Genomic DNA, 27,482 nt, shown 5'->3' with positions numbered 1-27,482 from the left:
GTTGTAATCTTAACTTTAGCCAAAACAAACCCCAATTCAGTTACTTACCTAGGGATGGGTTTCAGGCTGAAGACTGCTCTCTACCATCCTAGAAGCAGGGAAAAACCCTCATCTTCCCTGTTGGTTGCGAGCTCAAACACCATAAAGGAGTTACCTGCCTTCCATCAACATGGAAGCAGGAAAAATTTGCCTTCCTTGTGTTAGAAGCAAGTAAAACTCCAAAAAAAAAAGAGGAGTTGTACAACAAAATGAACTTTAGATCTTGACCAGATTTTGAAAGATAAGGTATTCTCTGGAGGGTGTGCTTCCGGGCCTCAGCAAATTGTCCTATTGGTTTGAGCCATAAAGATAGCTCAAGCTGGTACCAAGCACTGATAGCTTTGTCAAAGGTCAGGGGCGCCTCCAGTCAGAATTCTTCTGTGGTTACCAAAATATGAACCCCCCAAATCTGAGAAAGGTCTCAGTTAATTTAGAAAGTTTATTTTGCCAATGATGATGGTGTGACACAGCCTCAGGAGATCCCAATGACATGTCCCCAAGGTGGTCAGAGCACAATTTAGTTTTATACATTTTGGGGAGACTTGAGACGTCACTCAACATACGTAAGATGAACATTGTTTGGGTCTGGAAAGACAGGGAGGGGGCTTCCCGGTCATAGGTAGATAAGAGACAAATGTTTGCATTCTTTTGAGTTTCTAATTATCCTCTCAAAAGGAGGCAATCAGATATGCATTTAGCTCAGTGATCAGAGGGGTGACTTTGAAAGAATGGGAGGCAGGTTTGCCTTAAGCAGTTCCCAGCTTGACTTTTCCCTTTAGCTTAGTAATTTTGGGGGCTCAAGATATTTCCCTTTCAGACCTCTTCAGTAGAATTCTTTCTTCTGATGAGGCAAGCATTGAGTTTTATGTAGACCTGTATGGATTTCCCACCACTCACATGAAGACCATGACCTGTGACACATTCCCTGGAGGTCCTGAGAACATGTACCCAAGGCAGTTGAGTTACAACTGGTTTTATACAGTTTAGGGAGGCATCAGACAGTAATCAATATAAGCAGGGTATGCATTGGTTCCTTCTGATTGAGGGAGGAGCTTACAGGTCATAGGTGAATTCAAAGACTTTTCTGATTGGCGCTGGGCACGGTGGCTCACACTTGTAATCCCAGCATTTTGGGGAGCCAAGGCGGGTGGATCACTTGAGGTCAGGAGTTCGAGACCAGCCTGGACCAACATGGTGAAACCCTGTCTCTATTAAAAATACAAAAATTAGCTGGGCATGGTGGCACTCCTGTAATCCCAGCTACTTGGGAGGCTGAGGCATGAGAACAGCTTGAACCCAGGAGATGGAGGTTGTAGTGAGCTGAGATCACGCCACTGCCTGAGCAACAGAGTGAGACTCCATCTCAAAAAAAAAAAAAAATTTCTGATTTTCAATTGGTTGAAAGAAGTTATTATCCAAAGACTTGGAATCTTGGTATACAACAACAAAATTTTTTTTAAATAAAAAATTTTAAAAAAGACAACCTGGAATCAATAGAAATAAGCATCTGGGTTAAGATAAGGAGTTGTGGAGACCAAGGTTCTTTTTTTTTGAGACAGAGTCTCGCTCTGTCGCCAGGCTGGAGTGCCGTGGTGCGATCTCAGCTCACTGCAACCTCCACCTCCTGGGTTCAAGCGATTCTCCTGCCTCAGCCTCCCAAGTAGCTGAGACTACAGGCGTGTACCACCATGCCCAGCTAATTTTTGTATTTTTAGTAGAAACGGGGTTTCACCATGTTGGCCAAGAGGGTCTCTATCTCTTGACCTCGTGATCCTCCCACTTTGGCCTCCCAAAGTGCTGGCATTACAGATGTGAGCCGCTGCACCCGGCCCAAGGTTCTTATTATGTAACATAGATGGTAAATGTCTAAGGCGTTAAAAGGTGCCAGACTCTTAGTTAAATCTCCCTTAGATCAGGATAAAACCTGGAAAGAGGCTGGACGCGGTGGCTCATGCCTGTAATCCCAGCACTTTGGGAGGCCAAGGCAGGTGGATCACGAGGTCAGGAGTTCAAGACCAGCCTGGCCAAGATGGTGAAACCCTGTCTCTACTAAAAATAGAAAAATTATCTGGGCACAGTGGCAGGCACCTGTAATCCCAGCTACTTGGGAGGCTGAGGCAGGAGAATCGCTTGAACCCAGTGGGTGGAGGTTGCAGCACGCTACTGCACTCCAGCCTGGGCCACAGAGTGACTCTGTCTCAAAACAAAACAAAACAAAACAAAAAACCTGGAAAGGGGAGGGGATTCTCTACAGATTCTAGATTTTCCCCACAAAAGACAGCTTTTTGGAGCTATTTAAAAAAAAAATCAGAGGAATATATTTTGGGGGTAAAATACATTGATTTCTTTCAGGGCCTGCTATCTGTCAGGTGATGCTAGAGTCAGGTTGGAATTTGGTATCTTATTGCTACAAAGAGTCTGTTTTGTGTCTTAAGATCAGAATGCCTTAAGGTCTCTGTTTTAATGTTAATGCTGGTCAGTTGTGTCTGAATTCTAAAGGAAGGAGGGGGATAATGAGGCTTGTCCTAAACCTCTTCCCATCACAGCCTGAATTAATTTTTCAGGTTTATTTTGGAATGCCCTGGGCTGAGAGGGAGGTCCATTCAGTCGGTTGGGAGGCTTAGAATTTTATTTTTGCCTTACAGTTTCCCAAAACGTCCAGTGAACCTCGCCTCTCCTTTAGAAGTGTCGTCCCTGGAGCCCACGAAAATGTCTGCAAGATCTGCAAGGGCCACCTTAAAGCCCGTGCCACCTTAAGCAGGCCCCACCCCTGGCCTAGCCAATGGGCTGACAGCAGCAGTAGCTGCTGCCACAGTAGCTGACTGGTCACCCTGCCACCCAGTGCTCACACCCTCTGGCCAGTGCCTGGCTATGGCCCGACTGCTCAGGTCTGCAACCTGGGAGCTGTTCCCCTGGAGGGGCTACTGCTCCCAGAAGGCAAAGGTACCGGGAGAGAAGAGAAGTCCTCTGGAGGGATGAGGTGGGGAGCGGGGAGCAGGGGGTTCTGATCCCAAGTTTCCTGGGCTCTGTGACGCCCCAGCACCAAGTGACCTGACCTTGGGCAAAAGGGCACTGGGCTTACCCTGTGGCAACTGTGGGTGGGTGTAGAGTGAGATCAGCTGAGTCCCCACTGCTACCATGAGTGGGGCTGGGGGAGTCAAATGGATGCCCCTGGAATAAAACACACCTGTGGAAGAAGGCCCTGAAGGAAAGGGCCTGGGTTCCAGGCCAGGCTCTGTCCTTAACTTGGCCTCCATTTCTCATCTGTAAAATGGGAAGAAACACATCCCCCGCCCCGCCGCGCCCCGCCCCCCACGAAGGGCCCAGAAGCCCCAGGCAACGTAGAGTGGGGAGGGGGCAGTGGAAGCTTTTCCTCCCCCTAATTCCCTTATCAAGCTCTGAGTTCCCTGTGGCTGGGGTGGTGCTTGGTTGGCCCTGGAGAAAGGAGGAAGTGAGGGATCTTTTCGGTTGCTCAGGCTGGGCTGGCTATTGAAGGAACCCTGCTGATAGCCTTTTTGGAGAGTGAATTCTGGTTTTTTATTTGGATGGCTGGGCGCTGTGGCTCACGCCTGTAACCCCAGCACTTTGGGAGGCCGAGGCAGGTGGATCGCTTGAGCCCAGGAGTTTGAAACCATCCTGGGCAACATAGTAAGACCCTGTTTTTATTAAAAAAGAAAACATTAAAAAAATTCTGGTGGCGTTTTTTTCTGAGGGGAAACTTTGACCCCCAATGGCTCTGTTTGGAAAAGAGGCATTTCTGGATAGTGGGTTTGTTTAAAGTGGGCCCACCTGGCAAGGATGTTGTCAGCGGGGCGGGCGCAGGGGAGGCTCACTCCAGCCTCCAGCCCCCAGCCCTCCCCCCGACACTGGGGCAGGGCTGTGGCCCCATGTGTCTTTCGGGGGACCCTGGCAGTGTGTTTCTTCCCTGCAGGGAGAGCTCTGCAGGGACTTCGTAGAGGCTCTGAAGGCCGTGGTGGGCGGCTCCCACGTGTCCACTGCCGCGGTGGTCCGAGAGCAGCACGGGCGCGATGAGTCGGTGCACAGGTATGGGAGGGTTCGCGGGCCCCTCCCCTGTCTTCTGGATTCAACCCCAGCTGAGAGAGAGGGTGCTGGGTTGCCTTCCTCCTCACTCATCTGTTTTGGGGTGCTCTGGCATGTTCTCTGCCCCTCGCTTGCTGTAGCCTCAGGCCCTGCAACACCTCGGGACCAGAGGGTGTCACGCCCCGCTAAATCGCTGAGGGTCTGGTTCTAGGTGCGAACCTCCTGATGCTGTGGTGTGGCCCCAGAACGTGGAGCAGGTCAGCCGGCTGGCAGCCCTGTGCTATCGCCAAGGTGTGCCCATCATCCCATTCGGCACCGGCACCGGGCTTGAGGGTGGCGTCTGTGCTGTGCAGGTACAGTGGGGCTCCCTCGCCCGGCCCGAGGATGGTCCCAGCACACCTTGGCACACCTGTGGCTGCCTCCCCCGCCACACACGGCACCTTGGGTCTGCTCCCGCCCGTGGGCTGCCTGCCTCTGGGGGTCTGGTCTGGCTGCTGGGGGGACACCCGCGGGGTGTGGTCCGGGGACGTGGCCAGGTCAGAGACCCAGGTCTGCAGTGGTCTTAGCACCTGCCCCAACCAGGGCGGCGTCTGCGTTAACCTGACGCATATGGACCGAATCCTGGAGCTGAACCAGGAGGACTTCTCTGTGGTGGTGGAGCCAGGTGTCACCCGCAAAGCCCTCAACGCCCACCTGCGGGACAGCGGCCTCTGGTTTCCCGTGGGTAGGACTCGCGAACCTTTCCTGGGACCCTGAGGGCACCGTGGGAGCAGGGCTGTGTCTGGGGTTCAGGGGACCTTCCTCCCCCAGCCCGAGGGAAAGGACCTCCGGTCCCTGAGGCTGCCTTCTGTACGCCGCCCTCCAGACCCAGGCGCGGACGCCTCTCTCTGTGGCATGGCGGCCACCGGGGCGTCGGGGACCAACGCGGTCCGCTACGGCACCATGCGGGACAACGTGCTCAACCTGGAGGTGGTGCTGCCCGACGGGCGGCTGCTGCACACGGCGGGCCGAGGCCGGCATTTCCGGTGAGCGCCCTCTGCGGGGGGCCCGGGCTCTGGCCCTGGGCACTGCTGGCGGGCTGCCCTGCAGAGACCGGGCTGTGAAAAGCACCTCCTGGCGGCCCCCTGGTTTGGCAGGCTAGGCTTCCTCAGGCTCTGAAGCCCTGTCAGCTGGGCCAAAGTGGATGGGACCAGGGTTTGCTCTCCCTGCCTGAGGCCGACTGGCTTTGTGGAGCAGAAAGCACTGGGCCAGGGAAACTGGGCCCGAGGGAGGCCAGCCCAGACCTCAGTGCCTGGGGTCGGTGTCTTGGGTTCCAGCTTCGGCTTCTGGCCAGAAATCCCTCATCACACAGCCTGGTACTCACCTTGTGTGTCCCTGGGACGTAGGAAGAGTGCAGCCGGCTACAACCTCACGGGGCTCTTCGTGGGCTCCGAGGGGACGCTGGGCCTCATCACAGCCACCACCCTGCGCCTGCACCCTGCCCCTGAGGCCACAGTGGCCGCCACGTGTGCGTTCCCCAGTGTCCAGGCTGCTGTGGACAGCACTGTACACATCCTCCAGGCTGCAGTGCCCGTAGCCCGCATTGGTGAGCTGAGGATGGGGGCAGTCAGGGTGGGCTCCCTGGAAGAGGCCCCCTGGGAAGGCCAGGCCTCACCTGGCCTGCCATCTCCCTGGATCCAGAGTTCCTGGATGAAGTCATGATGGATGCCTGCAACAGGTACAGCAAGCTGAATTGCTTAGTGGCGCCCACACTCTTCCTGGAGTTCCATGGCTCCCAGCAGGCACTGGAGGAGCAGCTGCAGCGCACAGGTATGCTGGGGTGGAGTGGGGCAGCAGGGTGGGCTGCCTCAGTGGCGGCCCGGTGTCAGCCCCCCTTCCCCAACTGCAGAGGAGATAGTCCAGCAGAACGGAGCCTCTGACTTCTCCTGGGCCAAGGAGGCCGAGGAGCGCAGCCGGCTTTGGACAGCACGGCACAATGCCTGGTACGCAGCCCTGGCCACGCGGCCAGGCTGCAAGGTGAGCTGGGGCTGGGGTACAGATGGGGCCCACAGCTCGGCCCACAAACCCTTTCCTCAACCCACCACTCTACTGCACAGAGCAGCAGGCTGAGCCTCAACAACGGGGCTGGGCCTGGCTGAGCAGGCGCTAGAAACAAGGGCTGCAGACCGCCCCACCCAGCTGTTCAGATACCGTCTACAGGGAAAGCACAGTTGTCTGCTAAGCCCTCAAAAGCCCTTCCTGTGAGCCAGGTCATGGGAACGGTGCGGTGCTCTTGGGAGCTGTACATGGAAGGAAGGCTTCCTGGAGGAAGAGATGATAGAGAGGGGGATGTTAGCCTAACCTGGGGAAGGGAAGTCTGGGCTCCAGGCAGCTATGCAAAGGCTCAGCAGCCTGGGGCTTGGGGGTGGGAGCCACAGGGGAGGTGTGGCAAGCACACCTGGGCCATTGGTCTCCTGTGTTGTGTCGGGGGGAGGTGAGGGCTGAGGCCTAGAGAAGAGCAGGATTATTTCCTTGTGTGAGGCCAAGAGCTGAAGCCCAGTGCCCTCCGACCCATCCTCAGCCTTGACCACGGTGACCCCGTACACCCAATCAGGCAGGGGTAACTCATAGGCTTCCCTCTGACCAGGGCTACTCCACGGATGTGTGTGTGCCCATCTCCCGGCTGCCGGAGATCGTGGTGCAGACCAAGGAGGATCTGAATGCCTCAGGACTCACAGGTTCTGCCCACCCTGCTGCTGGGGAGAGGTGGGGAGGTGTCAGGGCTGATCAGAGCCTGGGGCAGCAGGAGGCAAGAGGAGGACTGGGCTGGAGAATAGTTCTGTCCTCTGGGCCCCCAGGAAGCATTGTCGGGCATGTGGGTGACGGCAACTTCCACTGCATCCTGCTGGTCAACCCTGATGACGCCGAGGAACTGGGCAGGGTCAAGGCTTTTGCAGAACAGCTGGGCAGGTAGGAGCAAAGCCAGGGAGGGGAAGAGCTGAGGGCAGAGGAAAGGGAGCCCCCTGAGGATGTCTCCTTCCTGCCCCCAGGCGGGCACTGGCTCTCCACGGAACGTGCACGGGGGAGCATGGCATCGGAATGGGCAAGCGGCAGCTGCTGCAGGAGGAGGTGGGCGCCGTGGGCGTGGAGACCATGCGGCAGCTCAAGGCCGTGCTAGACCCCCAAGGCCTCATGAATCCAGGCAAAGTGCTGTGAAGGGGGTCTGAGCACTTAGCCCACAAGTTCCCTGACTACGGAGCCGGTTCTGGAACTTTTCTTCATGCCACGGCCCCTGCAAGGAAATAGATGCTGAGGCAGTCTTCCTGCCAGCGAGCCCACTGTATCTGGGCCCAAGGCCAGAGGGCCCAGAGAGAAGCCTGAGCACCGTGTTACCTCCCTGGCCCTCTGGCTGGCCCCAGGAGCCTTTGGTTCAGTAAACGACCCAGGGTGGTTCCCAGCAAAGCTGCTTCCTCTCTGCTCCTACGCATCCTGTCCTGGCGGGAAGAGAGCGTCTGGGTCCATTCAAGACTCTGATGACACCCCTCCCCGAGGCCTCCCACTGCCGGGGTCCCAGGACCCTTCCCCCTTCACCTGGTGACAGGAACACTCCTTTCCTGGTATGGAACGTGAGCTCCCGTGACATGATGATAGGTCTTCTCCTTGGGGCCTCCCCCAATAAATCTGTAATAAACCTGAAACCCACCTACAGCTACCTGGAAGTCAGCAGGCAGCACTTCCTCCCCTCCCCCTCCAGGGTCTCTGTCCTTTGGTCAGTGACCCCTTTGTTTTGGGGCTGTCCTCTGACTTCTTATAGCCTGGGGAGGAGGTTGGTGCTCAGGGTTCGGAAAGGAACCCAGGTCCCTGTCCCAGCTACTCCGCCTCAGAGCTGAGGACCTGCCCACGGCACATGTCACTCAGGATGGGCTCCCCAACTGGGCCTGAACCGGGCCTCTGAACACACTGAATGTGTTCCTCAGCAGCTGCCACGTCTCTAGAAACAGAGATGAGACTATTTTTGCACCCACCTCTTCATGGGGTGATGTATCGTACCACCAGCTGTTTTGCCCTCAAGGTCTGTCCACCCGAGGGCCTGCCCCTGTCTTGGGCCGGAGCCCGTCTTGAGACCTTGGCAGTTGTTCCCCCCTAAGCCCACAGGAGGGCGCCCGAAATCATGAAGCTCAGATACCACGCGGCATCTGCAGCTCACGACTCCTCTGCCCAGGGCCTGCGGCACTCAGCCCTGGGCAAACCTCCTCCTAGGGTCAGGTAAGTCCTGGCAGCCTGGAAGCCAAGCTAGTCCTCCATCCCCTGCAGGTCCCAGGAACCTGCAGTGCTGTCTCATCTTCCTTGCCCCTCTAGCCTTCGGTCCCTTTTGGAAAGAGGCATGTCACACCCCACGCCCTCCCTGGCCTCCGCCCCTCTCCTCCTCCCATCAGCTGTCAGTGCTCAGGCAGGCTGCTAGGCCTTAGGCAGAGGCAGCTGCGCTGAGACGCCCCAGTCCAACTTCAGTTCTTGGAACCCCTCCTCCGTGCTAATACTGGGCTCCAGCCGACAGCAGTTACACCAACCTGAGCCTGGAGGCTACTCCTCCGTGACGTTTCTGTCCCGTGCTGCCCTGGTGGGGAGCAGAGACCGTGCCAAGGGCTCACTGGTGACAAATCTCAGCCCTCTCCCCAAACCACCCCAGCACGCGTGTGCTCATCACCGAGACAGCCCTCTCGCCCCTCCCCTTCCAGCCAGCCAGCCAGCCACCCACTCTTCCAGGCGAGAATCCTGCAGCAGCTGCGCTCTCCCTCCTGGGTAGGACTCTTCTTTGATGCGCCCTCCAGTGCCTGGCAACTAGGAGGCGCTCAGCAAATGACCATTTCCCACAATCTTTTATTAAGAAAAATTCCAAACATACAGAAAAGTTGAAAGAACAAGTACACTGTTCACTGAAATACCAGCCACTGCAGATTCAACAATGAACATTTTGGCCTTATTTGCTTTGTGTATTTTGGGGGGAACTATTTGGAATTAAATTACACATTTCTTGAAGGCATTCACCTATATAATCCAGCATCTATCTCCTAAGAATGAGGACATTTTCCCATGAACTGCAGTACCGTTAAATGGCTATTAGAGGAATGGTTGGTCTTTGTGAGGGTCTCACGTCCAGGAACCTCATCAAAGTGTGCTAGGCCCTTAGCAGAGAGGGTAGAACCTGCTCGCCGGCTCCCTCACCTTCTCTCCCATCCCAGAAAGGCAGAACAGGGGCAACACAGGATTCTGGAGAGCTGTCCAGATAGAGGATCACAAACATGAGCTCCACCTGGGAAACACAGACAGCCCCAATCCCACCCCCACAACAAGAGCAGGCAACCTGGGTCCAAATTCAGAGGACACCACAGCCGGCAGAGGGCTGCAGCATGCCAGGTAGGACGGAAGTCGCTGGGGGTGGGGATGAGCACCAGCCCCTAGAGCCTGGAATAGCACCCGGCGTGGGCTACAGCCCTGCCCCACCCACCTCACAGCTGCTCGGCTCACCCATGGCACTGCCAAAGCAGCAGGCTTAAGCCGCCAAGGCGGGCACATGAAGCCTCCATTTCCAGGTCCAGGGGTCAGGCAAGGAGATCTCCTTCAGGGCTGGGCCCTGCCTCGCCAGCTTTGCTGGTGGAATTAAATATAGCACAGGGAGACACAGTTGCCAGGCAGAAGCAGGAGGTGCTGTGAATAGAACAGTGCCCTTTGTGGTGACAAAGCTATGGGGAGCCTGCTGTGCATGTGCCAAGACCTGCAGGGCAGCTCCCCCAGCCCCCACAGGGACCTCTGAGCTGCATGGTTTTGTCCCCGCTTCACATGTGAAATATCTGAAGTTCAGATGAAGTCGTTTCCCCAAGATCATTCTGCCAAGTAGGAGAGCCTGAATGCACAGTCTAGAGCCCACGTTCCTGCCACCGACTCACAACAGCCCCAAGGTCTTCACCCCAGACGGGTCCCGCGCTGAGACCCAGGCTCTGAACCACCGAGTCTTCTTTAGTGTTTCTCCGCTGGCCCTGGCTCACGTTTGCCCACTGGCCTGTTGTGAATGCCCTTGCACAGAGTAGGTGCTTCTGGAAGCATCTGATGGAGGGTGACTGCGGAGCCAGGGGCCGTGGCAGCAGGGGGATGGTCCAGCACATCAGGCGGGCCTGAGAAGGGTCAGAGCAGAGAGGCGGTGGAGTCGTCTCCCTCTAGAGCTTTCCTTCGCTGGCTCTGCAGGAGGCTCTGGAATGCTGCTCCGGGAGCCCGCTGGGCACGGGGACACAGGCCAGGCCTGCACTGCTGCTCCCTGCCCCGAGCTGCCTGCCCAGCCCGCATTTTGCCAACTTTTGTGAGCCTGAGCAGTTGGTTCTGGTTCAAGGGCTCTGAGCTGGCACAGCCCCAAACCAGGGCCTCTTCCTGGGCCTCAATGAAGCATGCCCGTGAGTCAGCACTGAGACGCAAACTGAACAACAGGCAGGGCGAGTGGAACGTGGGATGGGGAGCAAAGGCTGGAAGGAGGGGGGCTGGGCCCACACCTGGAAGAACCCACATCCTTGCAGCCTCCGGTGGCTGCAACATCTTGGCCCCTGCAGATCTTTTCAGAGGTCCAGCACAATGACTCCACAGAGGGCTGACTGGTTCCATGATGCTTAAGAGGTTAGGAAGCTTGTAGGAGGCACGCCTGACTTGCCACTCCCTCCACCCAGGCCTGACTATCTGAGGACCAATTCACACACCTGGAGCCCCGAGTAGCAGCCTGAAGGAATGCTAAGGAGGTAGGTGAGGGAGTGGGGGGCAGGCCCTTGCCCCCATTTCTTGATTGTATAACACTTCATTAAAATAAAATCACGCAGTGCCATCTTTTATTAGACATTTTAATACCATATCAAAACACCTTGACTAATGAAGAAAGCTTTTCTCCCAAGCTTTGAACATTTTTTTAAACATTTTATAAGTTTTTTTTTGTATTTTAATATATAAATACAGAAACCTATCTTGCATGGGCTGATGCCACGTGTGAACATCAATGGCTAAAATGTTCTCAAACATAGTGCCTGAAAACAGGGGTAGCTGTACATATTTCTTAGTAAGTCTTTTTTTGTTTAAGTTTTCTGAAAAAAAAAATCCACGAGGGCCTAAGAATAATGTTCAGGCATTTTTGCAGGACACTTGTGATTGTTAAATCCTCTGAACTGACCGGAACCAGGAGGAAAGAAGGGAAAAGAGATGGGATCAGTAGGAAGAAAGTTCTCAATGGGTTGTTTTTTGGCAATGAAGTCAAGATATTAGGGTCTCAAGGGGAGAAAAGAGCAAAAAACCAGCCAGAAAAATAGAGGGAAAAAACCAAACAAACCCAAAGTAGAGAAGTTGGTGGTGGAGAGGGCCAGTTGGGGCAGGGGAAGAGACCGTGTGCTCGCCCGCCGTCAGAAGGCTGGCAGCGAGGCCTTAGCTGTGTTCGTCTGTCACTGAGTGGGTTATGGCTGGGCAGCAAACAGCAAGCTGTAAACATCACGAGGGAAAACACCAGTCGACACTAGACTTTTTTTTTATATAATTTTTTTTTGTAAACACTTTAAAGACAGACCCACAATGCCTTTCAAAGATGAAAAAGAAAATGCCCTTTCCCTCCTGGGCTGAGGGGTGAGGGGAAGGATAGCAGTTGATTCATTCTTCTCTCAAACTTGCTCTCATCCAATTTGGTGTCCTCAGGGAGGAAGGGAGAACCATGATCTGGAAGTCAGTGCAGAAGGGGTGCCCTGTTCCCGCTGGTGTCCCAAGCTCAGCTCTGCCCCAGGGTCCGGTGAGCCTCCTCCCTGGAGCAGGGGCGCTCTGTCCCTGTGTGGACCGTAATAAATAAGTCGTGCTCCATCGGGCCGAGGGCTGTCTGCTCATCCCAGGGCAGCTGCATCCCAAGAGGGCAGGCGGGGCTGGGGCGTCTACACAGGACCCCAGAAGCCAAACAGCACACGGGGAATTTGCAGCCATGTGCCTGGGCAGGTTCTACTCCCCTGCCTCACTCTCCCCCCTGGCTCTTTCTTCTCCCCTTGTCATCAGTTTTTGAGGTGGAGGTAAAAAGAGCAAATGTCCCTGATTTGTCTGACATCATCAGCTGTTCTGGGAGTTTACTTGGAATAAATAAAATAAACCTAACAAAAGAAAACGAAAGCAAGAGAGAGAGAAAGGGAGGGGGGAAGAAAAAGGTCCCAAAACCTTTGGCTGTGAGATGGAGTTGGGCTTTTGGTTTTTATGGGGGTTTTGTCTACTTGTTTGCCAGAAAAAGGAAAATGCCAGCCCAGAACTTGGAGGGGACAGGTGAGATGGGGGTCAGGGGTGGATGGTTGGCAGCAAGTGGGGTACCCCTGGGGGAGAAATGGGGAGGCCAGACCCAGCGGTAAGCCAGGGGGATGTGTGGAGTCAGCACCCAGTGCTGTGGGATAGAGGGATCGAGTCTGGCCTGGAGGCCTCAGATTCATCTGGAAGCGGCATGGGAAGAAGCAGTGGTCAAATGATCGCTGACCAGCACTTTGCAGGGAACAATGCACTGCCCATGGCTGTTTAGTAAGTGCAATGTCCTTATGGCAACAGGGAGTGAGATTATCCCCGTTACCATAGAAGAGGCGGAGACTCAGAGGTGAGCGAGGATGAGGCCAAGCCAGGCACAAACCCACCGCTCAGGCTCCTTTTCCTGCCCGTGCACATTCCCAGGGGATATTCCTGAACTTTCTTTAGGAATGTAGATTGTACTGGTCTCTTCCCCAACTGATCCTAACTCTTCTGAGCCTGTTCTTCATAACTGTCCATGTTGGTTTGTATCTCTTGTCCTTCCCAGGGAAAATCATTTCCGGATGACTAACTGCTCACTGATGAGGTGCTCCTTCCCTCTGCTCCTGCTTTCTTCTCAGTGGCATAAGGGCAGCCCGGCTCCCTAAACTGCAGGCCCCCAAAGTGACCTGACCCCAAGCCTTGAGCCCGGAGCACCCCCAAACGCGGGCTCACCTTTGAGAGGAGTCAGCAAGCAAGCCCGCAGGTCAGTCCGCAGGGTGTTCCGGACAAGATCTGTTCACTTCAAACCACGAGTCTATGCAGCTGGGAGGAGGGGGCCGCAAGGGAAACCACGTTACCTGCTGCCCAGGCTGCTTTGAAGGGGCTCTTTCAGAGGGCCAGATTCCTGAGCAGGAGCTTCCTAAGTCTCTTCTGAAAGGACCCCAGGGAAACACAGTCATGTCCCCAGATATCCCTACTTTCTGAAGCACGAAGAAGGGTGAACACCAAGACTAGTCTTGGCCCAGGTGGAGGCAGCAGTACCGGCTCAGGGGGATCTGGTGCTGCAGGAAGGGGCAGAGTGGCTTTCAGAAGGACCAAAGCTTTCTGTGCAGAGCCCAGGAGAATGGCAGCAGCCACCAGTGAGAAGGTGAGAGCGGTGGACCCCTCAGGGCAGCTAGTCAGCTGTCTCCAAGACTCCCAAGGGCAGGGAAGTGGGAACAATGGCATGGCAGGAGGGCCACGGCTCTGGGTGCCACAGTCCTGAAAGAGCTCCTTCCTGGGTCAAAAGAACAGCTGTGAAGCTCCCTCCCAGTGGGTGACCTCTTAGGAGAGCCCCAAGCTCTACCCGGCTCAGCCATGATCAGCTGATCAGCAGCATCTAGTCCTTCCTGCAAGAGGCGGGAGGGGAGCCAGACAGTGAAGCCCTGCTCTCCAGTGTTTACAGAGAAAGGCTCTCTGCATCAAAGAGGGAACAGAGATTGCCCCAAGACAGCTTCCTGATTTGTAAACCAACATCTGGGCATTTTCAAAGACAGGAACCAGACAGATAATTGGCATAATTCTCCCCGAGGGCCAAAGATTTCCTTTTCTGGTTCTGGTTAGTGCCGCCCTGGGACACAAGCAAGGCTCCGTGCTGGGAGCTAGACCAAGAATCTCTCCCAGGCCAGCCTTAAGCCTCCTCTGCACCAGCCACACTGCGTGCCATGCCCGGTTGTCACCCTGTGCAGCAGTGGCCCTGAGAGTCAGGCTTTGAAAGGCCTGAGTGTCAGGAAGAAGCTCTGGGCTCGAGGATTCAACAGGTGCTGGCCCCAGGCAGCACAGTGTCCTGTCTTGGGCAAGAGGGTGCCTTCCTTCCAGCTGGAAACAAGGACGAGGCTCACACTGGAGTCCCAAGGCATATCTGGGCCCTGCTACTTTTAACTGTGCCCAGTGCTGTGGCCCCACAGGAAATGGCTCTTCCTGCCTCCCGGCCCTCTAGGGAGAAGGCCAGTGCAAGGCAGTGGGTACACCCTCCGCCTGGCCTTCCTCGCACAGATTGATGTTCTACCCCTGTGGAGCAGAGGGACCCGTAGAGGAAGAAGAGGCAGGGAGACAGACGGAGAACCAACCTTCCCAGTGGGATCCGAAGCTCCTCCAACCTGTGAGGCTCTACGGGTCTCCCCATCAGCTCCCACCACCTGAGCCCTCAAACCAGAGCACACCTCTGGCAACTCCACTCTGCTCTGCACTTGGGATGCTCGCACCTTCCCGCCGGCACAGTGGACACCTGTCTGATGGCCTCTGCCCTTACCCGCTCGGAGCCAGAGGTCGGGGGAGAGGTCATCCCATAACCAAAGGAGACAGAATGGCTGGAGATGGGGGTCCGCCCCTCTGGGAGGTGGGGTGCACTAAGCTACCTTGCCAACCCCTCCTACCTTTTGTGATAGATGCACAGGCAGGGCAGCCTGGCTATCGTGTCCCCCTGCAGCAGCTCCTCCAGGCAGATCACACACTCACCCGCGTCTTTAGTCAGCACATCATCTGCAAGGGGGACAGGGGAGAGTGCAGGAGGGTTAGTCACCAGTGGACAGGTGGCATGGGGCAAGCAAGGGCCTAGGAACTAGGGGACTGCTTAGCTGCCCCAAGCTGTGCCCGGCTCTGCAGGGGACACAGAACCCCAAGAGGGACGTTGACCTTAAGACTTTCACCGTGGAGATAATGCGTGGACATCACATGTTAATTACCCAAAGACAAAATGGGATTAATCTCAACATGTGATTAACCAAAAGCCTAGGTGACAGCGGACGAAAAAGGCTTGGAGAAGGGTAGACAGGAAGCAGGGGCAGCATGAGGCAAGCTGTTTCCCTCCACAGATGCTTTCCTAAACACACACGTAGCCAGTGTGCTGATGTCTGGTTTGGAAAAATATGGTAATGGGTAGAGTGGTAGGAGGCAAGAATGAGAGGAAGAAACAGGTCCCCAAGAAAATCCTTGTGCACGGAGGTTCACAGCAGCATTGTTCACAACAGCCCAAAGGTGGAAACAACCCAGTGTCTACAAACTGCGCAACGGATAAACAAAAGATGATGTATCCACACAATGGAATATTACTAAGCCAAGAAAAGGAAGAACCACCACATGCTAAAACATGGATAAACGTCAAAAATACTACACAAAGTAAAAGAAACCACCTATTGTATGAACCCATTTATATGAAATGTCCAGAATAGATACATCCATAGAGAGGGAAAGGAGATCAGTATTGGGGACAGAGGGATATGGGGAGTGACTGCTTAATGGGTAGGGGGTTTTCTCCCCCCCCACCACCCCGCTTTTATTTGAGATGGAGTCTCACTCTGTCACCCAGACTGGAGTGCAGTGGCACTATCTCGGCTCACTGCAACCCCCGCCTCCTGGGTTCAAGTGATTTTCCTGTCTCAGCCTCCCGAGTAGCTAGGATTACAGGCGCCCACCACCACGCCTGGCTAGTTTTTGTATTTTTAGTAGAGACGGGGTTTCACCATGTTGGCCGGGCTGGTCTCGAACTCCTGACCTCGTGATCCACCCACCTTGGCCTCCCAAAGTGCTGGGATTACAGGTGTGAGCCACCACGCCTGACCCGTTTTTTCCCCTTTTAAAAACTTTATTTTATTGTGGTAAGACTAACATATGCTCTATCCTCTTAACAAATCTTCAAGTGTACAACATAGTATTGTCAACTGTAGGCACTATGTTGTATGGCAGATGTCTAGAACTTACTCATCGTGCATAACTAAAATGTTATACCCATTAATCCACCACTCCCCTTCCCCCCGCCCAGCCCCTGGCCACCACTAGTCTACTCTCTGCTTCTATGAGTTTGAGTATTTTAGCTACCTCATGTAAGTGGAATCACACCAGAGGTTTTCTTTTGGGGCGATGAAGTGTTTAGAACCAGATAAAGATGGGGGTTGTGAATGTCTTAAATGCTATTAAATTGCACATATAAAAATGGTTAATTTTATGGTGAGTTTCATCTCAATGTTTAAAAAGAAAGAAACAAAAGTGACCCCGCTCACCATCCCAAAAAGAAGGAATGGAAGGAAGCTACTTGCACCCATGGGAACCCACTGGTTTTTATTAAGTCCTATGGCATTCTGCGTGCCGGCGACAGTGAATAGCCATGATCTCGGGATTCAAGCAGCTCACAGACTAGCAGGGATGCCGAACAAGGAAATCAAAAGGCACAGCATGAGGACTTCCAGGACATCTTCTCACGCGCAGGCCCAGGGCTGAGGGTATGGGGAAAGAGACCTCATCAGGATGGGGGCTGATCTGGGAAGGTTCTGGAGAAGGTGGAGGATGGATGAAGCTGGGGTGGGGACGGGAGATTCTGGGCACAGGGAACAGCCTTGTGTTCTGCTGTGGTGTCTGGGGCCGACAACAAGGAGTGCGCAGCAGCCCTGCGTGTGCGGATGAGGGCAGCGGGACACACAGCAGGTGCCTGCACTAAGGGAGGGTGCCCAGGAGGAAAGCATGAGAAGGAAGGGACGGATTCTGAGTTGGGTGGGAGGAGGCCCGGCCAGCTGATGGAGACCTCCAGGAGGCTGCTGAAGCCTAGAGCTGAGGTTTGGAACAGAGACATGGGTGCCAGGCATGGATGTGGGATAAAGAGGCAGTCCAGGGAGAAAGTTCAGACCAAAATCCAAAGAAGGCAGAAGACAAACCCAGGCCGACATGAATATTTGAAGGGCAGGTGAAAAGAGGCGACGTGAACAAAAGGCGACCCAGAAGTCCTCCAAGCCACAGGAGAAATATCAGGAGAGCAGTGTCTCAGCTGTGAAGAAGGCAGAGCTTGTGGCAGGATCCCTTCTCCGTCACTAAAGGAACTTAACTGTCCCGAACACTGCCAATGACAAACACATGTGCGTGTCTTCCTTTGAGCATCACCATCTTCCAAGCTGGGCAGGGCACCCAGTGTTATTCTCATTTTGCGAATGAGGATCCGGAAGCCCAAGGAAGTCACACACCTCATGAGTGGGCTTGTGGGTTGTGGGGCTGGGACTGGGACCCTCTGCTTAAGAGGCCTTCCCATTGCTGTTTCTTTGTGTTCTCTTATTATTTTGGTGGAAAGGCAAACACCTGGGGCCCATAAAATGAAGATTCTTCAGGGCCCAGAAGGCTATGGCTTCCGCTCCTCAAAGCCCCCCACCAGGAACCCCAAGGAAAAAGCATAAAATGGAACCGATTCGATCCTTAAGTCCCCAGGCACATGAGTTGCGAGAGAAGTCACTCTCAGCTTCCTGGCCACCAGGACAACTTGTGGTCATTTTCTGTCTAGAACATCTGGCTAGCCCGAGGACCCACCTGAAAGGGTGACACAAACTGAGAAGGGAGATGGCACAGTCTGCTGCTGAAGTGTCTGTCCCCTCAGACTCCAAACATGGCAAGTAGTGGATGAACACATGGGTGTGATCCCCCTGCTTGAAAGCACTAGCTACCATACATATTCAAATGCATGTGTAGGCACAGATCAAAGTCTGGAAGGATGCACACACTTTCACAGTGGTAGAGGAAAGGAGGACTTGGAGAAAAATCCTTTTATGTATTTCTGTAGCGTTCGAATGTGCACTACTTTAGTTAAAAACCCTGATAAGGAAGCATACTGGTGTTTGCATTTTACTATGAAATGCATCAGAAGGATAAGATGGGTTGGTGGATGGATAAACGGGTCTAGTACACTGCAGACTCCAGGTGGTGCATGTGCTATGTAATAGGGGCGTTCTCTCTCTTTTTTTTTTGACATGGAGTCTCGCTCTATCGCCAGGATGGAGTGCAGTGGCATGATCTCAGCTCACTGCAACCTCCGCCTCAAGAGTTTCTCCTGCCTCAGCCTACTAAGTAGCTGGGACTACAGGTGCATGCCACCACACCCGGCTAATTTTTGTGTTTTTAGTAGAGACGGGGTCTCATCATGTTAGCCAGGATGGTCTTGATCTCTTGACCTCGTGATCCACCTACCTCGGCCTCCCAAAGTGCTGAGATTACAGGCGTGAGCCACCGCGCCCAGCAATAAGGGTGTTCTCTATACAATGCTTTCAGCTTTGCCGTACACTGGGTGCAGTGGCTCATGCCTGTAATTCCAGCATTCTGGGAGGCTGAGGCAGATGGATCACCTGAACTCAGGAGTTTGAGACCAGCCTGGCCAACATGGTGAAAGTCTGTCTCTATTAAAAAACCAAAAGTTAGCCTGCCATGGTGGCATGCACCTGTAGTCCCAGCTACTTGGGAGGCTGAGGCAGGAGAATCATTTGAACCCGGGAGGCAGAGATTACAGTGAGCCAAGATTGTGCCACTGTACTCCAGCCTGGGTGACAGAACGAGACTCTGTCTCAAAAAAACATAAAAACTTTGCTGTGTGTTTGACATTTTTCATAATAAAACAGAGGGAAAAACCTCAACAGAGATGGGAGGAAAAACAGCATAGCTTAGTGAGGGCAGAGTCGTCATGCAGACATTCTTGGACCTGTATTCCCCACTCTCTTTGTCTTGGACACCTCATCTATGACATGAGCGTATGGGCTATAGCCCTTAGTTTCCTCTAAAGCATTCCTTCCCCTCCATACTTAAGGAGGATTTCCTGGGAACATGGCAATTACTGATTCCTAAGTAGTTTATCTTTGCATTTTCTCCTACTGATTGGTAACTCAACTGTGAGCCCAAGGGACTAGTTAGAATTCTCTGGGTCCCATACAGCTTCCCACACCAGGTGTGTTCTCTCCCCATCTGTGTCAGCTCCAGGAGGGCACATGTGGTCTCCCTCATCGCCCCCCAGGAGGTGATGGATTCAGGGAAGGGAGAGGCAGGTATGAGGATAAGGCTTAGGCGCTTTATGACAAGACTGGACTTGACTCTCTTTTTGCACCGAACCTCACTAGGGGAAAGGGAAGGGGAAGGGGAAGGGGGCGCGAGGGCGATTCTTCTTGTCCTGGGGCGGAAGGCCTGTGCACTAAAGGACTCAGACTTGAGCAGAGGAAGGTTAGAGGCAGCCTTTCCTCACCACTCCACAAGGCGGTTTTATGCACAGTGCAGTGTTGTGCCTTTACCAGCTGGCCTGAGTCTGCTGCACTGGTGGGAAGAACTAAAATGTGCAGGCACCCCAACCAGGCTGGCACACGGCAGGGAGCACATTTCACTGGGACCAAGAGCCACTGGCTGCAAAAGGCCACCTGGAGGTTCCCGGCAATAGGAAGGAGTCAGGGTCTTTGACTCAGACAGCATGGGGAAGCCAGCAGTGCCCACACAGAGCCCAGTGCCCAGGGAGCAGCATTCTTCCACAGCAGGAGGCAGGAGGCACACAAACCCAGCAAGAGGTTGCAGTGGGCTGAGTACAACTTCCTGTCCCCACCCCTGGGGCTGTGGGAGTTAGTGGCCTCCGGATGTCCCTGAGAGCCTAGCAGGGAAGTGGAAATGGCTGAAGCTGATGCTTGCCTATCAACTGGTTCCTACAAGACTTCCAGAAGCATCTGACACGAACCTGCTGCCTGCCGTCAGAGAAAAGCCATGGCGGGGGCCTCGCAGCACAAAACCCAGGCGCCTGGCCCACACAAACTGAGACTCTGCTGCAGATGGAGTCAAATGTCCCCTGGTATCTCCAGGCCCCTAGAGAAGAGGTTCAACAAATGCTGCCGGATAAGAACAAAGCCAAACTTTCTGCCATCTGGGTTCTGCCCTTTTCTTACTACCTCTGAAGCACCTCCCAAGTTTCCTGACGCCACTGTACAAAGCCAGCCAATGTCACTGCCCAAGGGAGAGCTTGGAAGTGTGTTTGGCCTGGCTGGGGATGGTGTCAGTGCCTGTCCCTCTAACCAGACCAGGGAACCAAACCAGAATGGCGAGCACGGCCCTGGAGCTGAAACAGGAGGGAGGGATGATGCCTGTGATGGGCTGGGGGTGGGAGGCGGTGGCATCTTCTGCTCCCTCCCTGGGATCCAGGCACGGTGCTTCTGACAGCTGCTATTTGTCAAAGCAAAGATATCTGGGAGGAGGAGCAAAAGAGCCTTAATTCTCTAAGCCAGCTATATGCAGGTAACTCCTCAGACACACACACCATGACTCCTAAAGCCCCTGTGGGGATCTTCGGATAAGCTCATGCAGCTGCTAAGTGGTGATGACTCCCAAGCCCAAGTTTCTGCCACCCAGCGACCTGGCCCCTTTTCCTTAAAAGACCAGGCCATAAGGGTGTCTTCCCTTGGGGCTGGAAAACACCACCCGTCTCACAGGCACTTTGCATCTCCCCCTTTCTGTGAAGTGTGTGCAGAGGACCCAAGGTGGATGGAGGAACCTGGTCACTGAGTGAACAGACCAGACAGGAGAGACACACACCTGCCCTCCACCATGCCAGGCTCGAGTATTCTGCAGAGTTCTGGCAACACATCCTCAAGAGACCCTGGAACTGCTAGAAGTATGGAGGGGTGGGGAGGCTCACACAGCTGCAGACACAGATCTGCACCTGGCTGGGAGGGAAAGCCCGTGCAGCTCCGAGGCAGCAGCTGAGCACAGGAACATGCCTCTCCATCTCCACTTGTGCCTGGTGGCCATGAAGGGCCCAGAGAGAAGGAAGGTGGGAGTCAGAGGGGAAACCCCTAGCAAATGACGCACAGGCTCAGGTTCCACCCCCTGACCTCATTTCCAGCCTAGGTGCGGTGGAGTGCCTGGTCCTGCTGCCTATTCAGCATGCAGAGCTGCTGGCCCAGTCTGCCAGGGACAGGACAGGGCAGTGCCACCCATGCCAGGCCTTGTCAGCTCCCCTTTTGGGAAATCTGGGGGGCTGTGCTCTTCAGGCAACAGGGTGACCTTGAGCAGAGAGTGTAGCCTACCAGCAGCGGCCCATCCAACTGCCCAGCCCTTTGAAGTGCAATGCAATTGTTTTGGTGAGCTGGGCCACCCGCAATGAGGATAGTGGGGGCAGCCAACTAAAGCTCAGGCCTGGAGCGCTTCATACTTTCCTACTGAGGCCACTACAGCTCCCTCCCACAGTCCTCTTTCCTGTAGCCACCTGTTCCTGGTTTCCCCACTTGTGTTAGGGCCTTGCAGGCCTCCCCTAGTCGCTTTCGCTCCTCATACACCCAGCAGCGGCCAGTCTGGCAGTCAGTGCAGCCGGTCAGCAACAGCTGGACACCCTGGGTGAGCAGTCACCTGCCCCTCCTCGCCCTCCTGTAGGAGGAGTAACAGGACAGACACCTCCGCAGTCTGACTCCAGCCTGTCCAGCCTGACTCCAGCCCATCCAGCATCTAACAATGGCTCTGGGCAATGCCCCAAGCAAGGCTGGGCAAACTCCTCGGCCAGCACCCGGTTTCCCCAGGCAGGGAAAGGGTAGGGTGCTTTCATTCTGACCACAGGGTCTCTGAGAGGAGGAGACATGGGACAAAGAATTGCCTGCAGGCACAGGGCAGGCTATAGCAGGAGCCATTTCTGCTTTTCCAGGAAGCCAGGTCCTCTCACATTTTTATTTTATATTTTATTTTTTGAGACAGGGTCAAGCTCTGTTGCCTAGGCTGGAGTGCAGTGGCGTGATCAAGCTCACTGCTGCCTCAATCTCCTGGGCTCAAGTGATCCTCTCACCTCAGCCTCCTGAGAAGTTGGAACTACAGGCGCTTGCCACCATGTCAGACAAATTTTTTGTTTTTAGTAAATGGGGTCTCACTATGTTGCCCAGGCTGGTTTCAAATTCCTGAGCTCAAGCAATCTCGGTTCCCCAAAGTGTTGGGATTACAGACGTGAGCCACTGCATCCGGCCTCCCTTGCCTTTAAAAGACAGCTTGTGTGACATTTAGCATCTCAAGAGCCTTAAAGATGGGGGCAATGGCCTTTGGCAGAGGGGAGGAAGAGGGCATCATGACATAAGAAGCTGAGCATGGGCTTCTGCTCCCCCAGAACACAGCTGAGGGGAGCTCTCCTTGGTGCTGCTGGCAAATGAACCTGCCGCCCCCCAGATTCTCCCTGGGCTGAGGACCCCTAAGCTTCCAGTCAAAAGCGGGTCATCTCCACGACTCCACAGGATTACAATGCTCTTCCGTTCAGAGCATCACCAATCAGACCCCCACCTCCACGCTTGTTCTGCTAGCCCAGAGACTCGAGGGTCAAAATTTGAATGCGTATTCTTTAGGGCAAGGTCCCTCAGTCTCAGAGTCACAAACAGAGATGTTAGAAAGGGAGAGAAATTAAAAGGCCCATTCGGGTTGATCCATCTTACCCACAAAAACAAACCAACGAACCCCCTCCCTCTTATACAGTATCCTCACCTTCCAGGAAGGCGCTTAGGAGGACAGGGGGTTTAACATTCGGTGCTCTGGAGTCAACCGCCCTTCCCTGCCCCTCCAGCAGGGGCTCAGCACATTCCCAAACTTCCCCAGCCAGGTGCCTGTCCTCGGAGCACCAGGCACTAGCTGAACCAGTTAAACTAGTCTCGCCTTTCCTAAGTTGTGTTTTTTCTAAGCTAGCAGGCAGCTACTGGAGGCCTTCCAACCCACCACTCAGGCCAACCCTCATAATAAGAAAAATACTACTTTCTATCTGCCTCATTTAGGAGGTTTCTACTTTTTTCCTTTAGTGGTTAACTAAATTTCATCTTATATAACCATCATAAATTTTCTAAAAATTTCCGCAATTGGTGCCAACAACCACAGAAAGTGTGTGTGTAAATGGGAAGTCTTCAGGGGAGTGACCAGGAGTTCTAGTGAATCTTCATAAGAAAACTCTTCACTAAGAAAGCCCCGCCTCGCCCCCTTTCCAGAAAGATTCCAAGAACTCACACCTCTGACTCTTAAGTCTTTTTTTAAATTAGAAAAGGTAACATGCAGCAGGTGAGGTTGGGATGATGACAAATCATGGGGAATACATTGGAGCTCCTGAGCTTTGGCCCACGGTCTGTGCTCTCTCTGAGCTGGAGCAGGCCCTGGGCGTGCCTGGGGATGCCCACTCCACATACACCCCCGGAAGCAAATGCTCTCCTCTTACCTGGAAGGTTTAGGGTCTTCAGAAAAGACAAAGACTGAACATGAGGAGTCCATACCACATGAACAGGGTCCACAGAGGGCCGGACCATTGTTTCTGAACAAAGCACTTCACCACGTTGAGACAAAGTCCACTGGAAGGACTGGAGACAACTGGCCTCTCTTTGCCTCCAGTGGTAAAGGACTGGCTTTTGCAAAAGAGAGCCTTAGGTGTAAAGCCTCTAGTTTACACACACACACACACACACACACACACACACACACACACGTGCACACATACAGAAACACATGCACCCTTGAGGAGGTGGCCTGCCCCTCAATTCCATGACAAGGGAAAAACTAGAACCAGAACCAGAGGAGCAGTGGTCATGCCTCAGGCTGGCTGGCCAATCTCCCCTTCCTCTAAGGGGGGCCCGGCTCCCGGTGTGGTTTCTGTAGTCTTGGGTGAGGCTGCCGGTGGTGGGGTGTAGGGGGGTAAACCAACAGCGCCAGGCACTCAAGTGCTGATACAGAGGGGGACAGGGGGACACATGGTGGCGTCCCAGGCAGTTCTCTGGCAGAGGAGCTGGACAGCCTCACCTTCCCGGTTCTCCACAGGGCAGTGGGGGTAACTCTGCATTTGGGCCATGGGGGCCCAAGAGCACTCTGTCCTCCACGGCTGCTCTTGCAAAGTTCTTCCTGAGAGCCAGGTTTTCTCAGGCTGAGCCCCTCTGAGGCTTCTTTGTATTCTTCCTACAACAAACGCAGTGTCTACAGAGAACGCCCTAGCAACCCACAGGACAAACGGAGGACTTCATGAGGTCTCCACACATGTGGGAAAGAAGTGAATAGGGTTTTTGAGGCCATGGCTAGGGAGGGCTGTGAGACGCAGGGAAGGCTCCTCTCCCTCCCTGGTCCCAAGCGGAGACGGCGAACAGGGACAAAGCTGAGCCTGAGCGTCCTGACAGCATGCATGCGACAGGACTGACGCGAAGCCTGCAGCACATGTGACAACAGACTTAGAGAACTGGCAGCAGTCAGCCCAGGAGAAAGGAGGCGTTGTCCCCTGGGGAGGAAAGGGGCTTCCCAGACCACAGCTATGATGCCCAGGGGAGGGCCGTGCGGGTCCTCCCACCTGAGCATGGCCTAACAAATGCATGGAGCTGAGCCACGTGGGTAATATGCCCACCTGCATCCAGAGTCTTTTGGCTGAACAAGTAATTAAGAGAGAAGTTTTCAGGAGACCTGAGTGGACGCCATTAGTCAGTTACTTCCCAGGAAATGCTCTGAGACCATGATCCCTCCTAGGCTCATGCTTTGTAGGGGAAAGAGCCCTCTGGGAGTGAGGAGGCTGCAGGGCAGAGAAGAGTCTCCCTAGGAAACATTCTCGCTGGGCTGGTTGCGTGATCCAGTCCTCAGATGCTCTCAGAAATCCCAGAACTCTTTTTCCAACCACTACTATGACTTGAATCTGGGAAGGTGGGCCAGTACCAGGGTTGGAGTGCACTCAGATCCACTGCCTGGTCTAGTGGAAGATGCCGTTTTCTGATGAACATGGTTTGGAGACCAGACTAAACACTAAGCATGGAAAATCGAGGGTCAGCAGTGGCGTGGGCTGAGCAGCACTGAGGAGAAGTCTGTGGGCTCTGGAAAACTGCAAAAAGAAACCTATGAAGGTCTCACATCTTTCATGGCAGCTGTAACTTCCCAAGCACTGACCATGTGCCAGGCTCTGTACCAAAGGCCTTTATGTGCCATCTCTTACCCAGTTCTGACAATCCTATGAACCAAGTATTGCTATCCACATTTTACAGAGCAGAAAACTGAGGCTCCGCTAAGCTGAGCAACTTGTATAAGATTGTAGACACAGAGTGGTAGAGGGAGATTTGAACTCCCATCACCTGGACTCCAAAGCCTTATGCACAGCATGCTAGGCAGATGTTGACAGTCATTTTGTTTCCCAGAGGCGTCCTGTTAGGTTAGCTTGGGTGTTTTGAAATCCCCTGCCCTCAGGGTCCTACCCTCTGCGGTATTCACTGTTCGGCTCTGAGGCAGCCTCCAAGGTAGGAGGCAACATGGCCAGGGTGGAGCAGCAAGGTGTCCTATCCGCATTTTCAATCCCCAGAGCGTCTCTATGTCACACATAGTCCCCCGTCAAGCTCTCTGGTGTGGACTCATAGGACTAAATCAGGTGTTCGTCCGAGTTCGAACGTGACAAGGAGACGACCAGCTTCCCAGCACTCTATGCATGCCACCAGCACACAGCCCCCACCTCCCCAAGGAGGGCGGGTGCTTGCTCTGGGCCCCTCTGCTAAGCCGTGGAGGACACCTGGCTGTCTTGGGGCCTTCCACAGTCAAGGGTGAAGGAAAGGCTGCATCTCCCAGCCAAAGTCCTCAGAACTGAGTTGCAGAGAGGCAGGGGCCTAACTGAGCAGCCCGAGAGCCTTCCCAGACCTCGGACCTGACCCCTGGGCCTTCCTTCCTTGTCCCACTCCTCTTCCTCTCTGACCTGAGCAGCAAGGCTCCCAGAACAGTCCACTTCCTCACCACCACTGAGGCACACCTGCCAGAGGGCAGGGTGAAAATACTGCCCAGAACCACCCTCGACTGGAGGCTCCCACAAGGACTGGCCGGCTCCCCCGACGGATGCTCTGGAGGCTGGTGAGGCAGGCCAAGCCCTTACCGTTGTAGGAGAGGCGAGGTTTGCTCAAACACATTATAAAGTGCATTTCCATCTCGTCAGAAGCCACAGACTTGGAGCAAATGGGGCACTTGAAACCTGAAAGAGAGGAGAATGGGATGAAATGTTTTCTCCAGATCCAGTACATCCACAGTACATGTGGACACTCTCGAATGACAGCCATGTGGGCTCAGGGTCAATGTGGAGGATGACCATCAGAACAGACCCTGGACCTGTCCTCCTTCAAGGACTCATTTGAGCATCTGCCTTTTTTTTTTTTTTTTTTGAGACGAAGTCTCACTCTGTCGCCCAGGCTGGAGTGCAGTGGCACGATCTCAGTTCACTGCAACCTCTGCATCCCGGGTTCAAGCGATTCTCCTGCCTCAGCCTTCCAAGTAGCTGGGATTACAGGTGTCTGCCATGACGCCTGGCTAATTTTTGTATTTTTAGTAGAGAGGGGGTTTCACTATGGTGGCCAGGCTAGTCTTGAACTCCTGACATCAGGTGATTCACCCGCCTCGGCCTCCCAAAGTTCTGAGATTACAGGCATGAGCCACCGCGCCCGGTGGCATTTGCCTTTTATTGCAGCCTTTGACTGACTGCCAGCTTTCACTAGGGCTCACCCTGCCTTATGTGCCTCGTTAAGGTTTAACCAAGGTCACTGACACCTGACTTGAGTTTTATCTTCTTTAGACCCTTTCTCAGATGGGTCTGGTGGACAATGGGGTAGGGAGGCATCAAACCAAGGCACCTGGAAACAGCCTTTGCATAACAGTTTAACATTCTTCTGCCTCACAGCCTTTCAGCCACTTGGTTGGATCACCCTGGGAGGAATCTCATCCCTCACCCAGCTCCCAGCCTCAGCCGCCCATGCCAGGTAGCAACTCTCTCCCTCACCCACAGCCCCCTCTGCCTCCTTTGTGGCTTAAGGCCACTGTCCTTTGAGATGTGTGTGAACTGCTTACACATCCAGAGTTTCAACTGATACAGAATTGTACCCATACTGGAGAATTTTGGTTGAGAATCTTTCGAGTTGAACTCCGTTAAGCAAACCTAATCCCCTGATCCATTTGTCCATACAACACAGATGAATTATTTCTAATTTTTTCCAATCTACTTTCATTGAAATGATTTTCAAATGGATCAATTCTTTTCCATATACATTCTATCAAAAAGATCTGTTGCCACTGAAATCTTATTTCTCTGCATTAAATTGTGCACATCACAGTTTCTCCCTTTTGTGACTGTGATTCCTGCCCGCCCAGCCTGGACTTCCTAATGTGGCACATTTAACAACAGCTGACCCTCAAACAACATGGGCTCGAATGGTGGGGCTCCACTTCCATGTGGATTTTCTATCGCCTCTGCCACCCTAAGACAGCAAGACCAACCCCTCCTCCTCCTCCTCTTCAGCCTACTCAATGTGAACACGATGAAGACCTTTATGACGATCCACTTCCACTTAACGAACACTAAATATATTTTCTCTTCCTTATACATATTTTTAAATGTTATTAAAAAT

At 53.9% G+C, this 27,482-nt stretch overlaps 3 protein-coding genes across 5 annotated transcripts in view, besides 12 other annotated features; 1 reads left to right on the top strand and 2 right to left on the bottom strand.

The window, feature by feature from the left end:
- The window catches only part of ZFP1 (ZFP1 zinc finger protein), a 53,233-nt gene extending 52,604 nt beyond the window's left edge, over positions 1-629 (bottom strand). Inside the window, exon 1 of the mRNA XM_011522921.3 lies at positions 49-629. The gene's annotated coding sequence lies outside the window, so the exon portion shown is untranslated. The remainder of the gene's footprint in view (positions 1-48) is intronic.
- Positions 630-2,850: 2,221 nt separating this feature from the next.
- LDHD (lactate dehydrogenase D) lies at positions 2,851-7,767 on the top strand. 2 transcript variants are annotated; one of them, NM_194436.3, is made up of 11 exons: positions 2,851-2,982; positions 3,971-4,083; positions 4,292-4,433; positions 4,663-4,804; positions 4,946-5,105; positions 5,466-5,665; positions 5,761-5,889; positions 5,969-6,096; positions 6,707-6,797; positions 6,918-7,029; positions 7,110-7,767. In NM_194436.3, exons 1-11 carry the CDS (start codon positions 2,911-2,913, stop codon positions 7,273-7,275), a joined length of 1,455 nt encoding a protein of 484 aa, NP_919417.1. In that variant the 5' UTR covers positions 2,851-2,910; the 3' UTR covers positions 7,276-7,767. The 2 variants fall into 2 exon arrangements, with proteins under 2 accessions (NP_919417.1, NP_705690.2); NM_153486.4 differs by having other exon boundaries at positions 5,397-5,665.
- Positions 3,326-3,620: an enhancer, noted in NCBI's record as "tiled region #12749; K562 Activating DNase matched - State 8:EnhW". NCBI's record gives its function as "activates a minimal TATA promoter and a strong SV40 promoter by Sharpr-MPRA in K562 cells {active_cell/tissue: K562}" and the evidence as "EXISTENCE:reporter gene assay evidence [ECO:0000049][PMID:27701403]".
- Positions 8,295-8,344: an enhancer, noted in NCBI's record as "active region_11122". NCBI's record gives its function as "activates an Ori minimal core promoter by ATAC-STARR-seq in GM12878 lymphoblastoid cells {active_cell/tissue: GM12878}" and the evidence as "EXISTENCE:reporter gene assay evidence [ECO:0000049][PMID:35858748]".
- The window catches only part of ZNRF1 (zinc and ring finger 1), a 111,971-nt gene continuing 93,125 nt past the window's right edge, over positions 8,637-27,482 (bottom strand). The window contains exons 2-5 of one of the 2 annotated variants that reach the window (NM_032268.5): positions 25,964-26,059; positions 14,742-14,847; positions 13,060-13,149; positions 8,637-11,898 (exon numbers count right to left, since the gene is read on the bottom strand). In NM_032268.5, the coding sequence (NP_115644.1) occupies positions 13,092-13,149; positions 14,742-14,847; positions 25,964-26,059 (260 nt within the window). In that variant the 3' untranslated portion in view covers positions 8,637-11,898; positions 13,060-13,091. The remainder of the gene's footprint in view (positions 11,899-13,059; positions 13,150-14,741; positions 14,848-25,963; positions 26,060-27,482) is intronic. The other variant, XM_017023793.2, reaches the window with a different exon arrangement.
- Positions 10,342-10,421: an enhancer, noted in NCBI's record as "active region_11121". NCBI's record gives its function as "activates an Ori minimal core promoter by ATAC-STARR-seq in GM12878 lymphoblastoid cells {active_cell/tissue: GM12878}" and the evidence as "EXISTENCE:reporter gene assay evidence [ECO:0000049][PMID:35858748]".
- Positions 10,452-10,601: an enhancer, noted in NCBI's record as "active region_11120". NCBI's record gives its function as "activates an Ori minimal core promoter by ATAC-STARR-seq in GM12878 lymphoblastoid cells {active_cell/tissue: GM12878}" and the evidence as "EXISTENCE:reporter gene assay evidence [ECO:0000049][PMID:35858748]".
- Positions 11,796-11,965: an enhancer, noted in NCBI's record as "experimental_44438 CRE fragment used in MPRA reporter constructs". NCBI's record gives its function as "activates a minimal promoter by MPRAs in K562 erythroleukemia cells, with activity observed for the non-introgressed 16:75141649 variant allele {active_cell/tissue: K562}" and the evidence as "EXISTENCE:reporter gene assay evidence [ECO:0000049][PMID:34662402]".
- Positions 16,753-17,254: an enhancer, noted in NCBI's record as "H3K4me1 hESC enhancer chr16:75136275-75136776 (GRCh37/hg19 assembly coordinates)". NCBI's record gives its function as "activates a minimal SCP1, AML or CMV promoter by ChIP-STARR-seq in primed H9 embryonic stem cells {active_cell/tissue: H9 hESC(primed)}" and the evidence as "EXISTENCE:reporter gene assay evidence [ECO:0000049][PMID:30033119]".
- Positions 19,423-19,482: a silencer, noted in NCBI's record as "silent region_7708". NCBI's record gives its function as "represses an Ori minimal core promoter by ATAC-STARR-seq in GM12878 lymphoblastoid cells {active_cell/tissue: GM12878}" and the evidence as "EXISTENCE:reporter gene assay evidence [ECO:0000049][PMID:35858748]".
- Positions 19,593-19,652: a silencer, noted in NCBI's record as "silent region_7707". NCBI's record gives its function as "represses an Ori minimal core promoter by ATAC-STARR-seq in GM12878 lymphoblastoid cells {active_cell/tissue: GM12878}" and the evidence as "EXISTENCE:reporter gene assay evidence [ECO:0000049][PMID:35858748]".
- Positions 21,004-21,123: an enhancer, noted in NCBI's record as "active region_11119". NCBI's record gives its function as "activates an Ori minimal core promoter by ATAC-STARR-seq in GM12878 lymphoblastoid cells {active_cell/tissue: GM12878}" and the evidence as "EXISTENCE:reporter gene assay evidence [ECO:0000049][PMID:35858748]".
- Positions 22,850-23,579: an enhancer, noted in NCBI's record as "H3K27ac-H3K4me1 hESC enhancer chr16:75129950-75130679 (GRCh37/hg19 assembly coordinates)". NCBI's record gives its function as "activates a minimal SCP1, AML or CMV promoter by ChIP-STARR-seq in primed H9 embryonic stem cells {active_cell/tissue: H9 hESC(primed)}" and the evidence as "EXISTENCE:reporter gene assay evidence [ECO:0000049][PMID:30033119]".
- Positions 23,580-24,310: an enhancer, noted in NCBI's record as "H3K27ac-H3K4me1 hESC enhancer chr16:75129219-75129949 (GRCh37/hg19 assembly coordinates)". NCBI's record gives its function as "activates a minimal SCP1, AML or CMV promoter by ChIP-STARR-seq in primed H9 embryonic stem cells {active_cell/tissue: H9 hESC(primed)}" and the evidence as "EXISTENCE:reporter gene assay evidence [ECO:0000049][PMID:30033119]".
- Positions 26,151-26,343: a silencer, noted in NCBI's record as "fragment chr16:75127186-75127378 (GRCh37/hg19 assembly coordinates)". NCBI's record gives its function as "represses an EF-1alpha promoter that drives an FKBP-Casp9 reporter gene in an ReSE screen in HepG2 liver carcinoma cells {active_cell/tissue: HepG2}" and the evidence as "EXISTENCE:reporter gene assay evidence [ECO:0000049][PMID:32094911]".

This window comes from Homo sapiens, chromosome 16 (genome assembly GCF_000001405.40).
Source record: "Homo sapiens chromosome 16, GRCh38.p14 Primary Assembly".
Taxonomy (NCBI): Eukaryota; Metazoa; Chordata; class Mammalia; order Primates; family Hominidae; genus Homo; species Homo sapiens.
Note: the sequence above shows the minus strand (reverse complement) of the source record. Positions and strands in the feature narration are given on the sequence as shown.

Coding starts and splice junctions, on each gene's coding strand:
- LDHD (NM_153486.4), top strand. CDS start 2,911: ATGGCCCGACTGCTCAGGTCTGCAACCTGGGAGCTGTTCCCCTGGAGG. Junction 4,084..4,291: donor CGCGATGAGTCGGTGCACAG/GTATGGGAGGGT, acceptor GTCTGGTTCTAG/GTGCGAACCTCCTGATGCTG. Junction 7,030..7,109: donor TTTGCAGAACAGCTGGGCAG/GTAGGAGCAAAG, acceptor TCCTGCCCCCAG/GCGGGCACTGGCTCTCCACG.